This window comes from Homo sapiens, chromosome 5 (genome assembly GCF_000001405.40).
Source record: "Homo sapiens chromosome 5, GRCh38.p14 Primary Assembly".
In the NCBI taxonomy this organism is placed as follows: domain Eukaryota; kingdom Metazoa; phylum Chordata; class Mammalia; order Primates; family Hominidae; genus Homo; species Homo sapiens.
In genome coordinates, this window is record NC_000005.10 from 164598249 (window position 1) to 164619251 (window position 21003).

At 35.9% G+C, this 21003-nt stretch overlaps 1 long non-coding RNA gene and 1 pseudogene across 1 annotated transcript in view; one reads left to right on the top strand and one right to left on the bottom strand.

Annotated features, from left to right (window-relative positions):
- Nucleotides 1–21003, top strand: part of LINC03000 (long intergenic non-protein coding RNA 3000) — a 765030-nt gene that overhangs the window by 301544 nt on the left and 442483 nt on the right. The window lies entirely within an intron of this gene.
- On the bottom strand, nt 2722–3222 carry RPS15P6 (ribosomal protein S15 pseudogene 6; annotated as a pseudogene).

Consider the following 21003-nt stretch of genomic DNA (forward strand, 5'->3'; position numbering starts at 1 on the left):
CGATGGACTCTTAATCTTTGCATGAATGATTTTAGCTAGAGATAATATTTTAAGCTGACAGTTATTTTCTCTCTAGCTTTTGAAAGCACTTCTTGCATTTCTTTCAATTGATAAGGACATTTTCCTTTGGTTTAATTATTATTTTTTGCTAGTTAATACGATTTGTCTCTGGATTTTAAAAATTTTAGTTTAGCATGATGTGTACAGTTTCTCTATTATGTGTTTAGGTGGGAATATGTTTATCTATCCTGTTTAGTACTTAGAGTGCCTTCTGAATCAGAATCTCCATGTCCTACCTTGATTCTGAAAAGTTTATTACCAGGTATTTTTTCAAATATGACTTCCAGCTCATTTTTCTGAGACACTTATCAAATATATGCCAGAGCTCCGTATTTTATACTTTATGTATCTTTAATTTTTTATGTTTACATATTTGTGTTTCTGTGGTGTGTTCTGAGTACATTCCTCAATATCATTTTGAAATTCAGTCAGTCTTCCCAATGGTGGCAATTGTGTCTTGAGTTTGGTCTGTCTACTGAGGGAAGTTTTTTGTTTTTGTTTTTGTAATTGCAGTGACTACATATTTCTTTATTAAGAGTCCTTATGGGTTCCTTTCCTGTCTTCTTGCTTGTATTTGATCTCTGCTTCATTAAAAAAAAATAGATGTGATTGTCATTTTTTCAGTTGAGCATTGTAAACCGTTAATTATTAATGAGTTTTACAATCTTATACATATGAACATTTCATCTTGGGTGAATTCAAGTTCTGGTTGGTGATTTTGAGAGCCACCTACCTACCTTCCTTCCTTCTTTCCTTCCTTCCTTCATTCCCTCCTTTCTTCCTTCCTTCCTGTCCTTCTTTTCCTTTCTTCCTTCCTCCCTCCTGTGCAGGCTGGAGTGCAGTGGTAGCAATCAGGGCTCACTGCAGCCTCGACCTCCTGGGCTCAAGCCATCCTCTTGCCTTAGCCTCCCAAGTAGCTGGGACTACAGTTACAACCATCACATCCAGCTAATTTTTTGTAGAGCTGGAGTCTCCTTCTTTTCTTTTCTTTCTTTTCTCTTGCTTTTTTTTTTTTTTTGACAGAGTCTTGCTTTGTTGCCCAGACTGGAGTGTACTGCTGTGATCTCGACTTGCTGCAACCTCTGCTTCCTGGATTCAAGTGACTCTTGTGCCTCAGCCTCCCAAGTAGCTGAGACTACAGGCACATACCACCATGCCCAACTAATTTTTGTATTTTTTTGTAGAGACAGGTTTTCACCATGTTGGCCAGGCTGGTCTTGAACTCCTGTCCTCAAGTGATCCGCCCACCTCGGCCTCCCAAATTGCTGGGGTTACAGGTGTGAGCCACCATGCCCGGCCTTATTTTTCATACCTTTCTTCAGCCGTTTTGGAACTTGGGTTGTCAGGTTTGTTTTGTGTGGGAGATTCTTTGTAGTTTTTATGTTTCCTTTTTTTTTTTGAGAGGGAGTTTCGCTCTTGTTGCCCAGGCTGGAGTGCAATTACATGATTTCTCCTCACTGCAACCTCTGCCTCCCGGGTTCAAGCGATTATCCTGCCTCAGCGTCCCGAGTAGCTGAGATTACAGGCATGCGCCACCACGCATGGCTAGTTTTGTATTTTTAGTAGAGACACGGTTTCTCCATGTTGGTCAGGCTGGTCTCGAACTCAGATCATTCAGGTGATGTGCCTGCCTCGGCCTCCCAAAGTGCTGGGATTACAGGTGTGAGCCACCGAGCCGGGCCTATGTTTCCTTTTTAAAATTAATCAGTTTGTTGGTTCACCTCCAGCTTGCCGTCTGGTGCTTATTCAAGAACCGGGTTTTAGAGTAAAAGTTTGCTACTCTGACCCACAGGAAAGTAACAGAGATGGCCACTAAGCAAGCACAGAACTCGATTCATTTCTTACCTTTGAAAGTGTGGCTTTCTGTTTTCATAATTCCACAAGTTTATAACATCTGCAGCCCAAGAGAGCGCAGTTTTTTTGTTTTGTTAAGCCTCCTCTAATAAGCATCAAGAGTTCTGGGCATCCAATCTTTGCCATAATAAGCAGTAGGCCTGGCTCTATACATCCATATATGGGAGTACTTTTAATCCCAATGGCCCCAGAGAAACTGACCTCTTGTCACTGCCTGCTTTGGAGCTTTTAATCCCAGAAGGCCAGAGGATGTAGTCTTACTCATCTTCTTATATTTATGGCTCATGAAAATGTCTGTCCAGTTTTTAAGGCCAGCTCTGTCTTTCACGTTTTCTCTTTTTCTGTTTTATCTAAAACTGCTTTGTAATGAGGGCAGGGGTTGCATCATAGCGTGATTTTACTGTCTTCCTGGCATGAAATGATGTCTTACTCATCAGTTCATCATCTGTGCTTGCTTTTGTTTATGATCATGGAGACTTACTACTATATTTATGTTAGGATAGTGATAAAAAAACAGAATTGGACTTAAAACATAGTAACATGGTAGTGCTATTGAAAAGTCAAATACACATACACTATATAGTGGATTGAATAGAACAGAGCAGTGGGGAAACAGTCATCATGGTGTATTCAAATTTGCATCAGCAAACTGAACTCAGTTTGACAATCACTTTCTAAATGGTGATTCGGTTTCAACGAAACAACACCTTCAGCGGTGAAAAAAAAAAAAGCAGTATTATTGATATGCATACTACTGGTATAGTTGTTTTCTTTGTAGTCACTTTATAAATGTCTTTTTTTTTTTTTTGGAGATATGTGTGCCTTTATTAGCGGAGCCACTACTTGAGGGAGATGAAGCGGGAGGAGTGGGTGGACCCAATGCCAGGCCGGCCGTGCTTCACGGGCTTGTAGGTGATGGAGAACTCGCCCAGGTCGTGGCCGATCATCTCCAGCTTGATCTCCACCTGGTTGAAGGTCTTGCCGTTGTAGACGCCCACCCTGCTGCCCACCATCTTGGGAGGGATGATCATATCCCGCAGGTGCGTCTTCACCACTTCCTGCTTCTCTATGGTCGGCGCCTCCTTCTTGGCCTAGCATAGGCGCCTCAGCAGCGAATGCGGCTTGAGCCTCAGCATTCCGCCACAGGCCGTGGTTCAGCCGCCGCAGCTGGCGCGCGCCGTACAGCTGCCTCAGCTGCTCAAAGGACATGTCCAGCAGCTGGCCCAGGTCCACACCGCGGTAGGTGAACTTGCGGAAGATCCGCTGCTTCTTCTCCTCTACCTCTGCCATCTTGCCGGATCCTCTGAAAATGATTCCGTAAGTGCCAGAGTCCTTCACATATGGATTTTAACCTAATTCTGTAATGATTTTAATTAGCTGATATATTAAAAACAACGTCAGTAAGTTTTTCCCTTCAAGGAAGCCTCAACTTTGAGAAACGGTGAATTACGTGAGGTGAACCTCGTATTTATGTGAGGAAAGCTCTGCACTGGTTTTGATTCTCACATTTTAATTAGCTGATACATTAAAAACAATATAAGTAATTTTTCCCTTCCGGGAAACCTCAACTTGGAGTAACGCTGGATTACGTGAGCTAAACCTCGTAATTATGTGAGAAAGGCTAAGTATTGGTTTTGTTTCCCACATTTACGTGAGGAAATTGAGGCACAATGTTAAGTGTCACAAGGTCAAGTAACTAGTAAGGGGCAGGCCAAGATAGAAATCTGTTTGCAGAACTCTTGTGCTTAATGACTAAGAAGCGTGCGCAGATGCAAGGGCCAGACAGGGAAACAAGAGATCCATTTGTACCAATAGCATGGAAGATTGACTTTGTTTCAGGGAATCGCGTTTTTTCATAAAAACTTCGGGATTAACCCACCTCACATATTTTCTCCAAAGTTATAGTTATGTATTGGATTTAAGAATAGACTGAACCTGGGCTCCCCACTGCACAAGATAAAAAACTGATAGAGGCTGGGCACGGTGGCTCACGCCTGTATTCCCAGCACTTTGGGAGACCAAGGTAGGCGGATCACCTGAGGTCAGAAGTTTGAGACTATCCTGGGCAACATGGTGAAACCCTAACTCTACTAAAAATACAAAATCAGCTGGGTGTGGTGGTGGGTACCTGTAATCCCAGCTACTCGGGAAGTTGAGGCAGGAAAATCGCTTGAACCTGGAGGCAGAGGTTGCGGTGAGCCAAGATGGCGCCACTGCACTCCAGCCTGGGTGACAGAGCGAGACCCCGTCACCAAAAAAAAAAAAAAAAAAAAAAAAGAGAAGAAAAGGTAAACCAAATGATGTACAGAAGATATTACAACATATAGAAAATCATTAAACATCATTGGTCACTCAAAATACATTCTGGGCTCAACATAGTAATGGTAAATACTCGAGGTGATGGACACCCCAAATACTTTGACTGGATCATTGTCCACTCTGTGCATGGGACCAAATATCACATGTATGCCATAAATATGTAAAATATTATCTATCAATAAAAAACTTAATGGACACACAAAATAATACATAATGTGGTTGTTCTTAAAATTGGTTTTACTCTGTGCCTCTTTACTTTTCTTATAAAGCCAAGTATTTTTAGATCCAGAGAAATTTTCAACATTTCAAAGAGTAACTCTAGCAGTAGATGAGTATTGTAAGTGTGACTCTTTATGTGTGATTTTAAAATGGTTTAAGCAAAGGAACGACATTCAGATTTTCTGAAATTACATATTTATAAAACTACTGTAGAAAAATTTATGGTGACAATATTGTTTGAGTAGAAAGCTAAAAATTTCATTGAGTATGAAGTTGGTATAATACTATTACAAGCTGCCTTTTTCCGTTGAGTTTTGACTGTTATAATCAATTTAAAATGTAACTTTTCTTTTTGGAATTATAATAAATACAATTCTTATTTTAGATAAATCATTCGTCACACTTGTAAGATCACTTCACAGGGAAAAGTATTCTTTCTTGTCTTCTCTATTTTTTTACTGGAAGAAATGATGTACTTTTTCAAGTTTTGCTAAGAACTCTTCAATGGTAACAAATATTTGATGTTATGAGATTGACATTAAATATTTAATATTATTAATATATAAAATACTGTGTCATATCTTGTGGAAGAGAGAGAAAAACGATTTGTGAAAACATACTGCTTCTTGCATATAACCATGTTTCTGCTCCTTAGTAATCTTAATTTCAATTTTGTAAAGCTTGTCTTTATTATTATCAAGAAAAGCCATAATCTAGACCCAGAATTTTGATCAGATGGCCCTTACCTCAGATTTTGAATCACTGCTCTAAGAAGGCAGATAGATAACTGTTAAAATTTGGATAAAAATGAAATAAACAAAAATATAGTTAAGTATTAAGTTTCAGCCAAGGCACATGCCAAGAGATAAACGAATGATTTGTAGAATTATTGGATAGACTCTAAAGAATATTCAGCAATATTGTATATTCTACCCATTACTTGATACTGAGATATAAAGATGTTGATAACAATGGAAAGCAGATGGACAGCGCATGTTTACCTTTCAAAATATATCTGTCATGGAGGTAGCATGTTCACCTATTGATAAGTTTGCCAGACTTAGCAAATTAAAATACAGGAGACTCAGTTCAAATCAGTTAAATTTTAGAAAAACATTGAAAAGAATTATATGTGGAATATGCTTATTCTAAAAAAGTTTAATCATTGTTTTTCTGAAATTGAAATTTAACTGGGTATCCTTCGTTTCATCTGGCAACTGTAACTATCTCGAGTGGTGTATGTATTTATATGTGTGTGTTTGTGTAGTTAGTATGGGGTGGTCTGTCTTCTATGGGAATTTGTGAAAGGCAGAGAAGGTTTTAGTCACCATGTACATATTATAAAATACATTCAGCCATTCTCATTAAGTCTAAATTAAAAACAGTTTCCCCCATCCTCCATAGGCGGGGTGCAGTGGCATGATCTTGGCTCACTGCGACCTTCATCTCCCAGGTTCAAGCAATTCTTCTGCCTCCGCCTCCCAAGTAGTTGGGATTACAGGCGTGTGCCACCATGCCTGTCTAATTTTCTTGTATTTTTAGTAGTAATTTTAGCAATTTTTAGTAGTAGTAATTTTAGCAATTATATTGCTTGGGTATCTTAACTATTTCTGCAAGATTGCCTCTTGACTTCAGAAATGAGACAAAATCTTTTTTTTCTGTATTTTTTTAGAAGAAGGTAGGCAATATAAGGACCAAAGCTAAGAAGTACTCATGATATAAAAAAATGTTATTGACACACTAAGAAATCAGCAGTTTCAGTCTTCAAATCTTCTACTGACTATATGTTCAATTCAGTCACCTAAAAAATGCATTTCCAAATCAACTTATGATTTTCACTAGTACAAAGGGGGAAAACCCTAATGCAATATAAGAAAATTTTAAAGGATCATTTTTATTTGGCCTACCAAATTTAACGTGACTGAAAATGTTCGTTGAAAATGTTCGTTAAAAATGTTCAGGAATGTCTGGTTAACCCTGAATTAAGAAAAATAGGTCAACCATAACACATTTTCTAATAATTCTGACTTTAGTTAAGATTCAAACAAGTTTGGCAGAGCATCAATATCAGTCACAACACAAACTCTGGTTTAGAGGTTCTTCATTCTATTTTACAGTATTATCTGTGCATCTCGGAAGTAGTGATCCAGAATGGCAGACCCTAAATATGCAACAAGAGAAAGTGACCATCAGTGAGTCAGTAAATTCTCTTATTCAGTATTGGCTTGAGGAGCTCTTTCATTCAAGACTTTTCAAACATACACACACACACACACAATTTTAGGAGAGTGAAATTTTTTTTACTAAATATTTAACATTAGTAATATGCAAATACTAACAATGATTTTGTGGATATTTAATCTGTGCCAACTTTTAGCTAAGCACTTTAAATATATTGACTTAATGTACTCCATATGAAGTAGATAACATTATAATTTTTGTTTTGCTTTTGTTTGTTTGTTTGTTTGTTTTTTGAGACAGAGTCTCACTTTGTCACCCAGGCTGGAGTGCAGTGGTATAATCTTGGCTCACTGCAACCTTCATCTCCCAGGTTCAAGTAATTCTTCTGTCTCGGCCTCCCAAGTAGTTGGGATTACAGGCGAGTGCCACCATGCCTGTCTAATTTTCTTGTATTTTTAGTAGAGACAGGGTTTTGCCATGTTGGCCAGCCTGGTCTGGAACTCCTGTCCTCAAGTGATCCACCTGCCTCAGCCTCTCAAAGTGCTGCGATTACAGACATGAGCCACCGTGGTCGGCCTAATTTTATTTTAACAATGAAGAAAGGGAATCAAAAATTTTGACTAATGTTTCTGTGAAGTCAAAGCCTGTGCCCTCAATGTATATTGATACACATGAGTAGAAACTGGCATAACAGTTGGAGTATATTCATGAGCATATCTGTGTTTTCTCTTAAATTATGGATCTCTTTTCCACAGAGTTTGGGAGTAGTCCTTTGGTGTGGGGCTGAGGAAAGAGCAGCAGAGCTGTCTCTAAAGTTACTGGCCACTCTCTCCTCATCCTACAGCTCTATCCTCTTTTGACTCCTAACCTTGACACAGCCTTTCTTAGGCTCCTTTTATTTAGATATTGTACTCTTCAGAAATTTGCCCTTCATTCTTTCTTCTTTGGTTTTATAAATCCCTCTTAAGAATGTGATGTAGTCTTGGTCTTCAGTGATGTAAGACCAAGGAGATTTATGTTTTGAACTCCACTTCTTTCCAGAGTTCCATATGTGTAGGCAAAATGGATATCCTCTGAATGTCCCATATGCATTTTATTTTATTTTTCATAGGTTATTGGGGGTACAGGTAGTATTTGGTTACATGAGTAAGTTCTTAATGGTGCTTTGTGAGATTTTGGTGCACTCATCACTCAAGCAGTATACACTGCACCCTATTTGTAGTCTTTTATCCCTCGCCCCTGTCTCACCCTTCCCCCCAAGTCCCCAAAGTTCACTGTATCATTCTTATGCCTTTGAGTCCTCATGGCTTAGCTCACATGTCAGTGAGAACATAGGATGTTTGGTTTTCCATTCCTGAGTTATTTCACTTAGAATAATAGTCTCCAATCTCAACCAGGTTGCTGCAAAGGCCATTAATTCATTCCTTTTTATGACTGAGTAGTATTCTATCGTGTGTGGGTGACTGTGTGTGTGTGTGTGTGTGTGTGTGTGTGTGTGTGTGTCAGTTTCTTTATCCAGTCGTTGATTGATGGGCATTTGGGTTGGTTCCATGATTTTGCAGTTGCAAACTGTGCTGCTATAAAGATGTGTATGCAATATCTTTTTCGTATAACAACTTATTTTCATATGGGTAGATACCCAGGAGTGGAATTGCTGGATCAAATGGTAGTTCTACTTTTAGTTCTTTAAGGAATCTCCACACTGTTTTCCATAGTTGCTGTACTAGTTTACATTCCCCCCAGCAGTGCAGAAGTGTTCCCTGTTCACCACATCCACACCAACATCTGTTATTTTTTGATTTTTTGATTATGGCCATTCTTGGAGGAGTAAGGTGATATTGCATTGTGGTTTTGATTTGCATTTCCCTGATCATTAGTGATGTTGAGCATTTTTTTTTTTGTATGTCTGTTGGCCATTTGTGTATCTTCATGTGGTGGCTCACACCTGTAACCCCAGCATTTTGGGAGGCCGAGGTGGGTGTATCATGAGGTCAGGGGATTGAGACCATCCTGGCCAACATGGTGAAACCCCGTCTCTACTAAAAATGCAAAAATTAGCTGGGTGTGGTGGTGCACGCCTGTAATCCCAGCTACTTGGGAGGTGGAGGCAGGAGAATCACTAGAACCCAGGAGGTGGAGATTGCATGAGCCAAGATCCCACCACTGCACTCCAGCCTGGTGACAGAGTCCACTTTTTGATGGGATTTTTTGTTTTTTTCTTACTGATTTGAGTTCATTGTAGATTGTGGATATTAGTCCTTCATCAGACATATAGATTGTGAAGATGTTCTCCCACTCTGTGGGTAGTCTGTTTACTCTGCTGACTGTTCCTTTTGCTGTGCAAAAGCTCTTTAATTAAGTCTCAGCTATTCATCTTTGAGGGTTGTTTTTGTTTTTGTTTTTTTGACGGAGTCTCGCTCTATTGCCAGGCTGGAGTGCAGTGGCGTGATCTTGGCTCACTGCAATCTCCATCTCCTGGGTTCAGGCAATTCTCCTGCCTCAGCCTCCTGAGTAGCTAGGACTACAGGCACGCGCGTGCCACCCCATCCCGCTAATTTTTGTATTTTTAGTAGAAATGGGGTTTCACCATGTTGGCCAGGCTGGTCTCGATCTCTTGACTTCATGATCTGCCTGCCTCGGCCTCCCAAAGTGCTGGGATTACAGGCATGAGCCACTGCACCGGCCTTATCTTTGTTTTTATTGTATTTGCTTTTGGGTTCTTGTTCGTGAAATCCTTTCCTATGCCAGTGTCTAGAAGGGTTTTTCCAATGTTATCTTCTAGAATTTTTATAGTTTCAGGTCTTAGATTTAAGTCCTTAATCCATTTTGAGTTGATTTTTGTATAAAGTGAGAGATGAGGATCTAGTTTCTTTCTCCTACATGTGGCTAGCCAATTATCCCAGCACCATTTGTTGAAAAGGGTGTCCTTTCCCCACTTTATGTTTTTGATGGAAACACATCCCATGCTCATGGATGGTTAGAATCAATATTGTGAAAATGACCATACTGCCAAAAGCAATCTAAAAATTCAACACAATTCTCATCTAAATACTACCATCATTCTTCACAGAATTAGAAAAAAACAATTCTAAAATTCGTATGGAACCAAAAAAGTGCCTGCATATCCAAAGAAGACTGAGCAAAAAGAACAAATCTGGAGGCATCACATTACCTGATTTCAAACTATAGTATAAGGCCGTGGTCACCAAAACAGCATGGTACTGGTATAAAAATAGGCACATAGACCAATGGAACAGCATAGAGAACCCAGAAATAAAACCAAATACTTACACCCACATGCATTTTAAATTAAGTTTTCAAATCCAACTTTATTTCCCAAATATACTCATCTTTCATATTTCTGGTCTCAGTTAATGGCATTAATACTCAAATCAGTGAGCCGATTAGAGATTATGTTGTTTGAGTTATTCCTCATATATCCTCAGCCACTAAACTTTGTCAATCTTGCTTTTAAAATATTTTCTTGAATCATTCATCATCAAAAAATCATATTTTCACCTAAGTATTGTGTGTAATATATTCTTCTACCAACCCAAAATTCATCCTCTCTACTGCCATTAAAATTATTTTGACCAGAAAAACAAGAAAAAATAATGTGTCCCTCTCCCTTCCTAAAACATTCTTATGGCTGTGTTGTTTACAGGAGTAGTTGTCACACTGGACTGAGGTATGGAGATTATGGACATAGAAAGGATCCAGACACCAAATATCACATATGCTATTTTCCAAACTAATCTGTCCATCTGTGGCTTAGGTGTCATGGTTTATCAGCCTTTACCCATATTTATTTATTTATTTATTTATTTATTTATTTATTTATTTATTTTCTTGAGTCGGAGTCTTGCTCTGTCACTCAGGCTGGAGTGCAATGGTGGATCTTGGCTCACTGCAATCTTTTCCTCCCTGGTTCAAGCGGTTCTCCTGCCTCAGCATCCCAAGTAGCTGGGACTACAGGCCTGCGCCACTGTGCCCGGCTAATTTTTGTACTTTTAGTGGAGATGGGGTTTCGCCATGTTAGCCAGGCTGGTTTCAAAATCCTGACCTCAGGTGATCTGCCTGCCTCGGCCGCCTAAAGAGCTAGGATTATAGGTGTGAACCACCATGCCTGGCCTGCCATTTTCCCATTTTTTTTAAAGAAACACACATTGCACCAGCAAGCAAAAACCTGGGGCTCATCTAAAGAGCCACTCAGTATGTTGTTAGTCCGAGAAAGTGAATCAGCCTAATGACTACCTAACAAATACCTTTGTGAATTAGTTGGTTTTTCATATTTTGTTTTTAACAAAATTTGCCTGGTAGACCACTACAAATAATGTTGGAGATGCATGGTTATGTGATTTTTGATATAAAGCCCAGAAGAATTCGTAAGAATTGAGTGCCATGGAGTATGTTTTTTTATACCCATTTACATGTTAATGATTAAATTCTCAAGACTTAAACTCATAAATGAAAAATAAGCATAGATTTGATGCTTATTCTAGCAATCCAACATTTTTATTCATGGATATATGAAGTACTTATTAAAGGTCTTGGAGTTATTAAAGAGTATAGCACAAATAAAATGTTGCTACTTTGCATAATTATTGATTGAAATTTTAAATATTTTACGTTACATACAAACATGCTAAAAATTAAGTATAGAGGGAAATAATGTCCATGTCTTATGGATGTAACATTTTTTAGAAACTATTGTTATTATGTTAGAGCAAACTTTTAAAATATTCTGGAATAAAAATATAAGAAAAATAATTTTGTAGGGAAAGTGGAATAGAACTATGAATTCAAGAAGAAAAAATAGTGGTATAAAGTTTTCAACTATTAAAGGAGGACTGTTCATTTATTTTCAAACAAGATAATAATTTTCATATTAATTATAGTAATTAGATTTTTTCAGTATGTTTAAGTTTTATTTTTAAATGGAGTGTTATTTATAAATTCCTAGAAATACAGTTTTTTGCTATTGAAACTTAATTGAAAAATTTAAGACAACATAATTTTAGGGGGTTTGCAAAAAACCATATAAACCACTGAACCATAGAATCAAGTCAAAATTCCATATTTAGATACTTACAGTGATCATTTTAACTTTCTAATCTCATGTCCCACCACTTATATCATCTACTCCACCTACACCTGAGTTTTCTTTGGAGTGTCATTGGTCTCAAAGATTCTGTTTCTTCTGTTTAGAATCATCTTCCATTTCCTTTTTACTTAACAGAAATTGTATGTCACTTTTATGCCAATTGCCTGACACAGTCTCTGTCACATTATAGATTCACATTAATAAGAATAGTTATGATTTATTGAATGCAGTGGGCAGTAGACTAAGCATTGTGCATGCCCCAGCTGTTTTAATCCTCACAACAACCCTAACGATGACAGAACTGAGTTCCAGAGAGATCTGAATACTTACCTAAAGTCAAGGAGGAAATGAGCCTTGTTGATTAAATGAATAACCAAAAAAATGCTCGGCTGCTAATGCTTTTATCTCATTTCAACTGTTTCTATAACTTTAGATTTCTTTGGATGTACAATTTTTATAAACTAGTCCAGGCCCTGTGAACAGTTCTTTGTTGTTTGTTTTGCTTTTAATAGGAAATGTCATTACACTTTGTTGTAATTACCTGTTTAATGTCCCTCTCCTTGACAAATGATAAGCTTCACTGAGTCAGGGATCATGAATACCATATTCACCACGCCCAGCATTGTACACAGTGCATGGCATATACTGTCTTCTCAGTAATACATATTGAATTAACAAATATTCTACTACATTTTAGAAGGAGTTTTTAATCAACCCTGATGGTTGTAGATCATTAGGCACATTATTCTCTAATACAATGCTTCATTTACTTTAGAAATCCTTGTGTCACTTTCTGATTCTGTCATAACCAAATATTCCAAAATTATTCTTTAATTCACATTTTTCTTTATATTGACTATTCCTATCTCTACTTAATTTATTTACAAAGGAGACTCTGTCACCACTGCAGATGGAATGCCTATATCACTGAACATAAATATAGTAAAAGTACATACCAAAACAAGTAGTGTTATTAAAATCCAGCTAACCATTTTCATCAGCTATGCTTAAGGTTCCTTCTCCTTCTGTTAAAGAGAAAGATTGCCAACAATTAAGGAGGCCTTAAAGACAGACTAACACCAAATTATTACTTTTGCCTATTTAATCATGATTGAAAAAGCATTAAAAATAGACTTATGTTTTTCCTTTATGTGATTCTACTTAGCTTAATGACATTCCGGTGTGCCCTCGGAAATCCTCTTGGACGCTGTACTAGATGGGGTTTGTAAAATGCTTAGCCCAGTGTCTGGCACATCCTATGCATTCAAAAAAATATTAGTTATTTTTATAAATATCCCACACTGTGAAAAAAATGGCATATATAAAACTATCTTGCTTCTAATGAATATATCAAATGGGACCTCAGTGTCAAGAGTTGTAGGTCATTGAGATTGCCAAACCTTTTAAAGTATTTCCTGCCTACTACCATGCGTGTGAATATTTATGAGATTTCTAGCAAAGAAAAGCACTGAACATTTCTTGAAAGTATTAAAGTAAATTGAAAAAAAGAGTCAGAAGGGGGACTACATTGAGTTTGATTCACTAAGAAGGCAGAAGCTACTGGATCAATGACTACCTTCAACAGAGTCAGAGTTAAGCTTGTCTCAAGATGTCACACTATTAAGCAAAGAGCAATGATGTGTAACAATTTCTGGAAACTAAAAGGAGAGAAAGGGAATTGCACTTCTGGCCACTTTTTCACAGTTATTCCAGAAGTGCATAATCTTGATATTTAAGAGACTAGGGATTAAAAGTTTATTGCTTGATATAGATGCTGCTGAAAAATTTTATTTCCCATCATATTTAATATTCACAAATGATATGGTTATTAAAATACACAGTAAATTCCTTTAAAAGTGTCACATATTTTATACTAACAAAGTTGTTACACCCTCTACATTTTAATAATTTCTTTGCATTAGAAGCCAAAACTCTATCGAGATCTCCCACAAATATTCTAGTTTATGTGAATCTCATACCTAGACAAGGAGAAAATTAAGCATAAATATTTGTGAATTCATAAAAGCAACTTGTTTATATGACTAAAAAGATGCATGCGTAACTTTAGTTTGGTTAATTGACACCATCCATAGAAAAGATGCTGCCGGTACACTCTAGAATGTTCAGTTGAAGCTGATATTTCAAAAAAGATAGGGTAATGAAGTTTACTATAATTAACAATGAAAGAGTGAGAATTATTGGAAATTCACAAATTAAACCAGCACAGTCTCTTTATCAACTTCCTGTTGAACTGTGCTTCTCATTTAACATATAAACACCACCTGTGCCAGTGCTTTCCTCTCCAAAATTGCTATAACCTTGTTTCAGAGAAATCAGCAGTCTATGATATTTGCCTTAAAATAAAAGAACAAGGCTATCCATTCTCAAAAGAGCTAATGTGTATATGGAATACCCAGAAATCCTCTTTGCTGAGGGAGTCTGTCAAATCCTTTGGAGACTAGTGTTTGTTTTGGAGGCCTTTGATAAACTATTAAGTTTAAAAGAAAGAAACAAGTATTTGCAAAGTTTGTTTCTTATATTTCGAAATATGCAGTTGCTGAAAATAGTTACTTGGTTCATGAGCTGGCTCATTAGGCTCATAGCTTATTTTGTATTTGATTTTTATTATCATAAAAGATAAGATAAAATTTACCATTTTTACCATTTTTTTAATGTACAGTTTGGCGCCATAAAGTACATTCACATTGTTGTGAAACCTTCATCACCATACATCTTGCAAAACTAAAACTGCATTCATTAAACAATAACTCCCTATTCCCTCCTCCCCTCAGCCCTTCATAATCCCCAATCTATTTTCTTTCTCTATGAATTTGACTACTCTAGGTACAATATATAACATATTTAAGTGGTACCCAGAGTAGTCAATATTTGTCTTTGTGACTGGTTTATTTCATTTTGCATAAAGTTTTCAGGGTTCATCTATGTTGTAGTATGTATCAGAGTTTCTTTCCTTTTTAAAGCTCAATAATATTCCATTGTATGTATATACCACATTTTGTTTCTCTATTTATTTGTTGAAGGACAGTTGGGTTTGGTCCACTTTTTGGCTATTGTGAATAATGCTTCTATGAACATGGGTGTACAAATATCTGTTCAAGTCCCTCTTTTCAGGTCTATTTGTTTTTTTGTCTGTATCCAGAAATGGAGTTGATGCATCATATTGTGAATTCTATGCTTAATTTCTGGAGGAACCACCAAAATTTCGTGTCTTAATTTTATCCAAGGGAACCCATAGCCTTTTTTCCTGTTGTCCTTTTCACACTCTGCACACACACACACACACACACACATACAAACACACTCTTCCTCTCCTCTTTATTCAGATTGGCTTTAGCAGGGGAGAGTCATTATAAAGCTCATTAATCTTCATTTTTCACAGCAAGATTCATTTTATAGGACTGAAAGATGCAGAAATGGAACCACACAGCACTTTGTCAGCAGCTAGGATTTCTGAATTTGATGCCGAGTGAAAATTAAACACAAGAGACCAGACAGCAGCTCTAATAACTCAGTAATTTCTAAATAAATAGACTGAGATTGATGGAACTGAAAACAGTTTTCACTAACAAGGGAAAGTATACAGGGTAGTAATATTTGACTCAAATATGCTTTGCATAAGGGATTGGAATTCCTGAAAGCCTCTCATTTCCCCATCAGAGAATTTGTTTCTTCTATCAGTCAAATGGTGGTTAATTATCACATTTCAAGGAGCAGCTCATTAATTCATTAACTAAAAATAACTAGATATTTATGTAGGAAGATAACACACAATAACCAATAACTTGAATAGCTCTGCCAATGTAAATTGTCTTCCAATTTCAGGAAAGTTTCAGGAGGTGATTCCACAATATAAGTTTATGCCAATTGTTAATTTCCACTTCAAGAATTTAAGAATTTTGGAATGAAATAAATTTAAAACTACATCCCTAAGGGAAATTATTTTATCTCCATTTGATCATCTTTGTTTGGCAGTTTGATACTGACAAAGAAAGGTACAATTGGGAATAAGAGGCTGGCCAGGAAACAAATAAAGTACTGTATTAAAATGCCAGTTAAGTCAAGCACTTTAAGGAAAAAAAGGTGGGGGGAAGCGCTAAGAGAACTGGGAACTTTATTTTTCCCCTTGTCAATTCTAAAATTTTTCCCCGGTATCAGGAACAAAACTTTAATACACATATATTTAGTATACTGTTTAAAAAGCTGCTGTTACAAAGTTAACTCTTTTACATTTAAAACTCAATGATTGAAAAGGTTACTTTGTTTCTCCTTGTTTCATTGTGAAATGTCTACCGTAGAGTATTGTGATATATTTATGATAAACACATTTATGATAAATTAAGGAATAGTCATTAAACACACACCAGTATCCACCACTCAACCAAAAATATATAATTTTAATTTAGAGAAAACTTATACTTTAAGTTTCATGATAGATGTTACTGGTATGTTTTTCTAGCACAGACACAATTTCAACTACTGTATTTTATGTATTACATATAGGAACAAAGTTTTGGCCATTTAGAAAGGAAGATTTTTAAAGGAGGGGGTTTAAATTTAATCTGCATAACAATGTACATAATCCTAAAATTCTGCTTACCCTTATCACAGAAGGGAAGAACAATCTCCCCAAAGATGTCTGACATCCTACACAGATATGAAGGGCTTCCACCTTTGCCCTAGTCCCTGCATGTTCCTGTGCCTAACTCAAGCACTGCAAAGATCTGTTCCCTGTTATAAATCTGTTTGGAGAATCTAGTTTAAATAAAAGTTTCCTTTTTATATCTCTGCAACTTTAACAAAGATAAAGACTTAAAATATGGAGGTATTACTGTTGAGAGTTGGCCCTATGTCAGAGTAAAACTAAGTTTGACTTACAACAAACTTTCAGTTTTCACTACTATAGTATAATCCAATGAAGTTGAGACATGTGTTCTCCAACCTGTGAGCTATACACATGCTGTTTCTTCTGCTTGGAACATTCTTTATTACCCTTTTTCCAGGATTACCTTCTCTTTGTCTTTCAGCTCAGTGATCACTTCCTCCAGGAAGCCTTTCTTGATCCTTTAAGTGTAGAATAAGTTGCTACTCTTCTGTCCTCATATTATTTCTTGTATTCCCCACTCAGTAACTACCACTATAATATCACACTGTATTGTGATTGTCAGTGAGTTCTTTACATTTCTCCTCACTAGATCTACTAGCTTTGAAATGGCGGAGACTTTACATGTTACAAGTTATGGCCCAGTAACTTAGCACAGTGCTTGCCTTATAGCTGACATTTATTGCACAATGTCATTAATCTCTCTGAATAAAAACACCCATTCTGTATCTGCACAGAATTGCCTACATTTGGCATTTAGAAAACTTAGCTTACATTTGTCAGTTTTTACAGCATAGCTTCTGAGTCTAGAAGCACAGATAGACACATTTTTTAAAACTGTTATATTGCCTCACCCTTGAAAGTATAGTCTTTTTGAACTAATGAATTTAGATCAGTGTTTCTCAGAATTTAATGGGCATAACAGTATCATGGGGAACCTGTTAATATTGACATTCTGATTTAGTAAGTCTGTGATAGGACCTGAAATTCTGTGTTTATAACAAGCTGCCAAGTGTTACAAAGCTACTGCCATTCGCCATTTCATCAACTATAGTTATTTCCTCAAGATAAAGATATAAAGAAATGTCAAAAAGAATGAGAAGAAGGAAGAGAAAGCGAAGTAATAGGAGTCAGGGAAGAAGAAGAAGAAGAGGAAGAACAATCCAACTAAGCAATAAAAGTGGCAGCTATCTTTCCTTGCTTATATATCTATGTGGAATCTTTGCAGTTAGGAAATAAAAAAGCATTAAAACAAAACTACCAAATTATAGGCTAAGTAATAGACCAAAATATGCTTAGCATAAGTAAGTGTTGGGGATTTAGTGGTAAGATGATCAAGTGAAGCACCTCCTTTAGAGGACTGAATGCAATTGAAAACTCCTATGTCAATGATCAATTTTAAAATAGGAGGGGGATGAAAATCAACAATTCATGAAGAAGAGAAAGAAACTAGCAGGAAGTCATTTCTCAGAAAAGAAACTAAAAGTTAATTCACCAAAGTTATAAGAATAAGAAAGCCAGATGCACTGTGAAGAGGAACGAGAGAAATATTTAGCAGTAGAACAATAGAGGGGAAAAAAATCGAGGCTAGTCTACCTATGAAGGAGACAGGCACTTAAATTCATTTGTTCAATGTATTTTAAGAAATTATTGTAGGACATTTTACTAAGTTTATTGGTTAAAATGTTGAATAGGTATTAAGTGCTATAGAGTTTCTTTGGGTAGACATTCACATAAATGAAAAAGTGCAATACATTTTGTTGTAAAAGAAGCAGGCATTTTGTAAGTCAGATGGGAAGAGTCTGACTGAGTGGCTGGGGTCATACATCAGAAAGGTAAGAAGGAGAAGACTTTTGAGCTAAATGTTAAAGGATGAAAAATTACCCCGTTCTATACTCTCTCTCACTCCTGAGAGAAGAAAGAACAGTCCAGGCAGGAGAAAGTACTTGAATAGATAAACTGAGCCATATACTTGAGCTTGAGGCAATTGGTATCACTAAGGAAGGCAGATGATTGTGTACGATTATACCAGTGTCTGTATATGGGTATTCAGACACTATATTGAAAGAGGAGAGAGAAGAAAAGAGAAAGAGAAGAGAATACATATAAAATTTAATTTGGGGGAAGAAGTGAAGACACTTTTGTTTTTTGTTTGTTGGTTAAAGGAAGGACATTTTTATACTTAAATAGACCTGTTTAGTGTAACATCTTCAAGCTTGCTTGGAAAAGAGAAATGCTAATAGTGAAAATAGACAAAACAGAAAAGAGTGGTAAGAGAAACCTAATTTGATCTAACATTTTCAGATATGAATATTTTATAACCTATACAAATTAAACTTTCAGAAGGAGGAAATAAGGAAAGTTGAGAAATATTAACATCTTTATTGAGACTTTGGTCTAAAATACCATAAAGTGAAATTTTGTTATAGTGTTTATTTTGCTTAAGTTAAATAATAGTAATTATAAAAGTAATAATTAAGAAAATATAAACATACATAAACTTGTATAATTTACATTAAAACATTCCTTAGACACCCGAAAACATATTTTTTTGATGAGTCCGAATGACGATAATAGTAGAATAAAGTTCTGGTTTGATTTTGAGTTCTCCTTTTACTTCTTTATTTATTTTCCCATAAATTAATAGGATTAAGCAATCACTCAGTAAATCAAGGAAAACAGTCATTTTTAAGTTAATTATCAAATAACAACAGCAGAAAAAGAAAAGATGTATAAATGCAAAGCAACTGTTTTATCATATGTGTTTATATTCTGCCTCTATTCATCTATAAGCCAGTATATTCCAACGCATGTCATAGGAAAGGGACGTGAGTCTGGCTTTGTGATTGACTCGTAGATAGCATCACAGACAACTGGAATTCGAAGAGAAACTACAGCAGATGGACGTTTCATATTGACTTTCATTACACATGCAGCCTGATATATGAGTGAGAAGACTGTGCCTTGGGGTTTGGCCTTGTCTTTCTGCAGGAGAAATAGCAGGAAAAGGGGAGCTTAGTGGTTTCTGGCAGATAGTGTTAATTTTCCACTAAATCATTGTTTACAAAGCAAGAGGAATAAATAGGGAAGGATACCAATTTTATTATTCTCAAAGCTATCTTTCTAAAAATGACTAGCAATGTTTCAGTAGAGTAAAAAGTCATTTTCAATGGAAGGATTTATATATACAGTTTTTTCCTATAGGTGAGTATTATCAGCTTTTCAATCCTGGGCCCTGGTATTTTATGAAGGATAAGCTCCTGGAGTACTTTTATAATTTAAATCTTGCATAAAACCAGATGAATGTTGACAACAGAGAGATTTCTATTCACCTGTCAAAAGTCATTGGTTACTGTTATTAGTGGCAACACAATTTGCAGTTTGAAACTACACGATTCCTGACATATTTCATGTTATTTTGGATTTTGTGCATAAAATGGTTTTCACATAATATTTTATATTACACTATTTTAAATTAATGTAATTCCAATGAATATACACACTCCTGTTAAAAGACACATTTGGAGACTTTGCTGTCAAATATTTTATCCTCAAAACTTGACCTAATTTAATATTTCAAGCTGATATGGTTATATCCTTATCTAATTGTTGACCCTCTTTGATTTCTCAGAGAAATTAATAAAATACTTCTCTGAGATAGCAACAAGACACTGACCTTAAAATTGCTCTTGTATATCAAATTTTATTAGAATTCTTACTTGTCTTCTGTCTTAAATCTTTAATGCAATTAGATAGATTAATGACTTTTAAATTGTATTAGTTGAATAATCATGCATTATTCTCATTAAACAGGATGCTACTATAGTTATTTTATCATAGCTATTCTGCTTTTATTGTGACTTTTGCAGTACTTTAGTCTTAAGAGCTATTGCTCATAGAAACATGGCACCGTAGACTTATTTGGCACACAAAATAATTATGATTATTTGAAAACTGCTAAAAGCATATGTTTGCATAAGCAGAAACATTTAATAATGTTTTCATTTTTTACTGAAAAAATGTTCTATATATCTTACTAAAAACTTCAGGGCTTTGTACTCTTGTCAAAAACAATACCACATCAGCTTATAGAAATGATGGATAGATAGAAGACATCATAAGATAAACTACTAAGTAATCCTGACAGAAGAAACACTGTATAATATCTGTTTTAAAGGTCATTTTTGCAACGCTTTTTAGAATATAAGTCTGCCTTTGCTGTTTTCTATCCAATAATGTGAAAATTCTAGACTTAAGTAGTAGCAAATAGAAAATATGTTTACCATATAACTGATGGACTATTTAAATTAGATTTCACTATAAGGGAATCTTTTGTAGATGGAATGACTTAGAGGTCTCTTCCTGTAAATAAGTACTTTTAAAATACAAGGCAATACTAAATTAGTATTTTGCACAGTATCTTCGCTTAGAATGATAGTAGTAGTATGAATTTGTATAATGAGCTCTTTAGAATAGATGACTACCATCGTCATTTATTTCATCTGAGAAATCCAAGCTATTATTAGCAATATTAAATCTAATCATATTATGTCCTAAAACATTATTTGAATTCATTGATGTGAAGGCAAATGATTATAAAATGTTCTCTTAAGTACATTACAGAGGAAACAAACACCCTAACTAT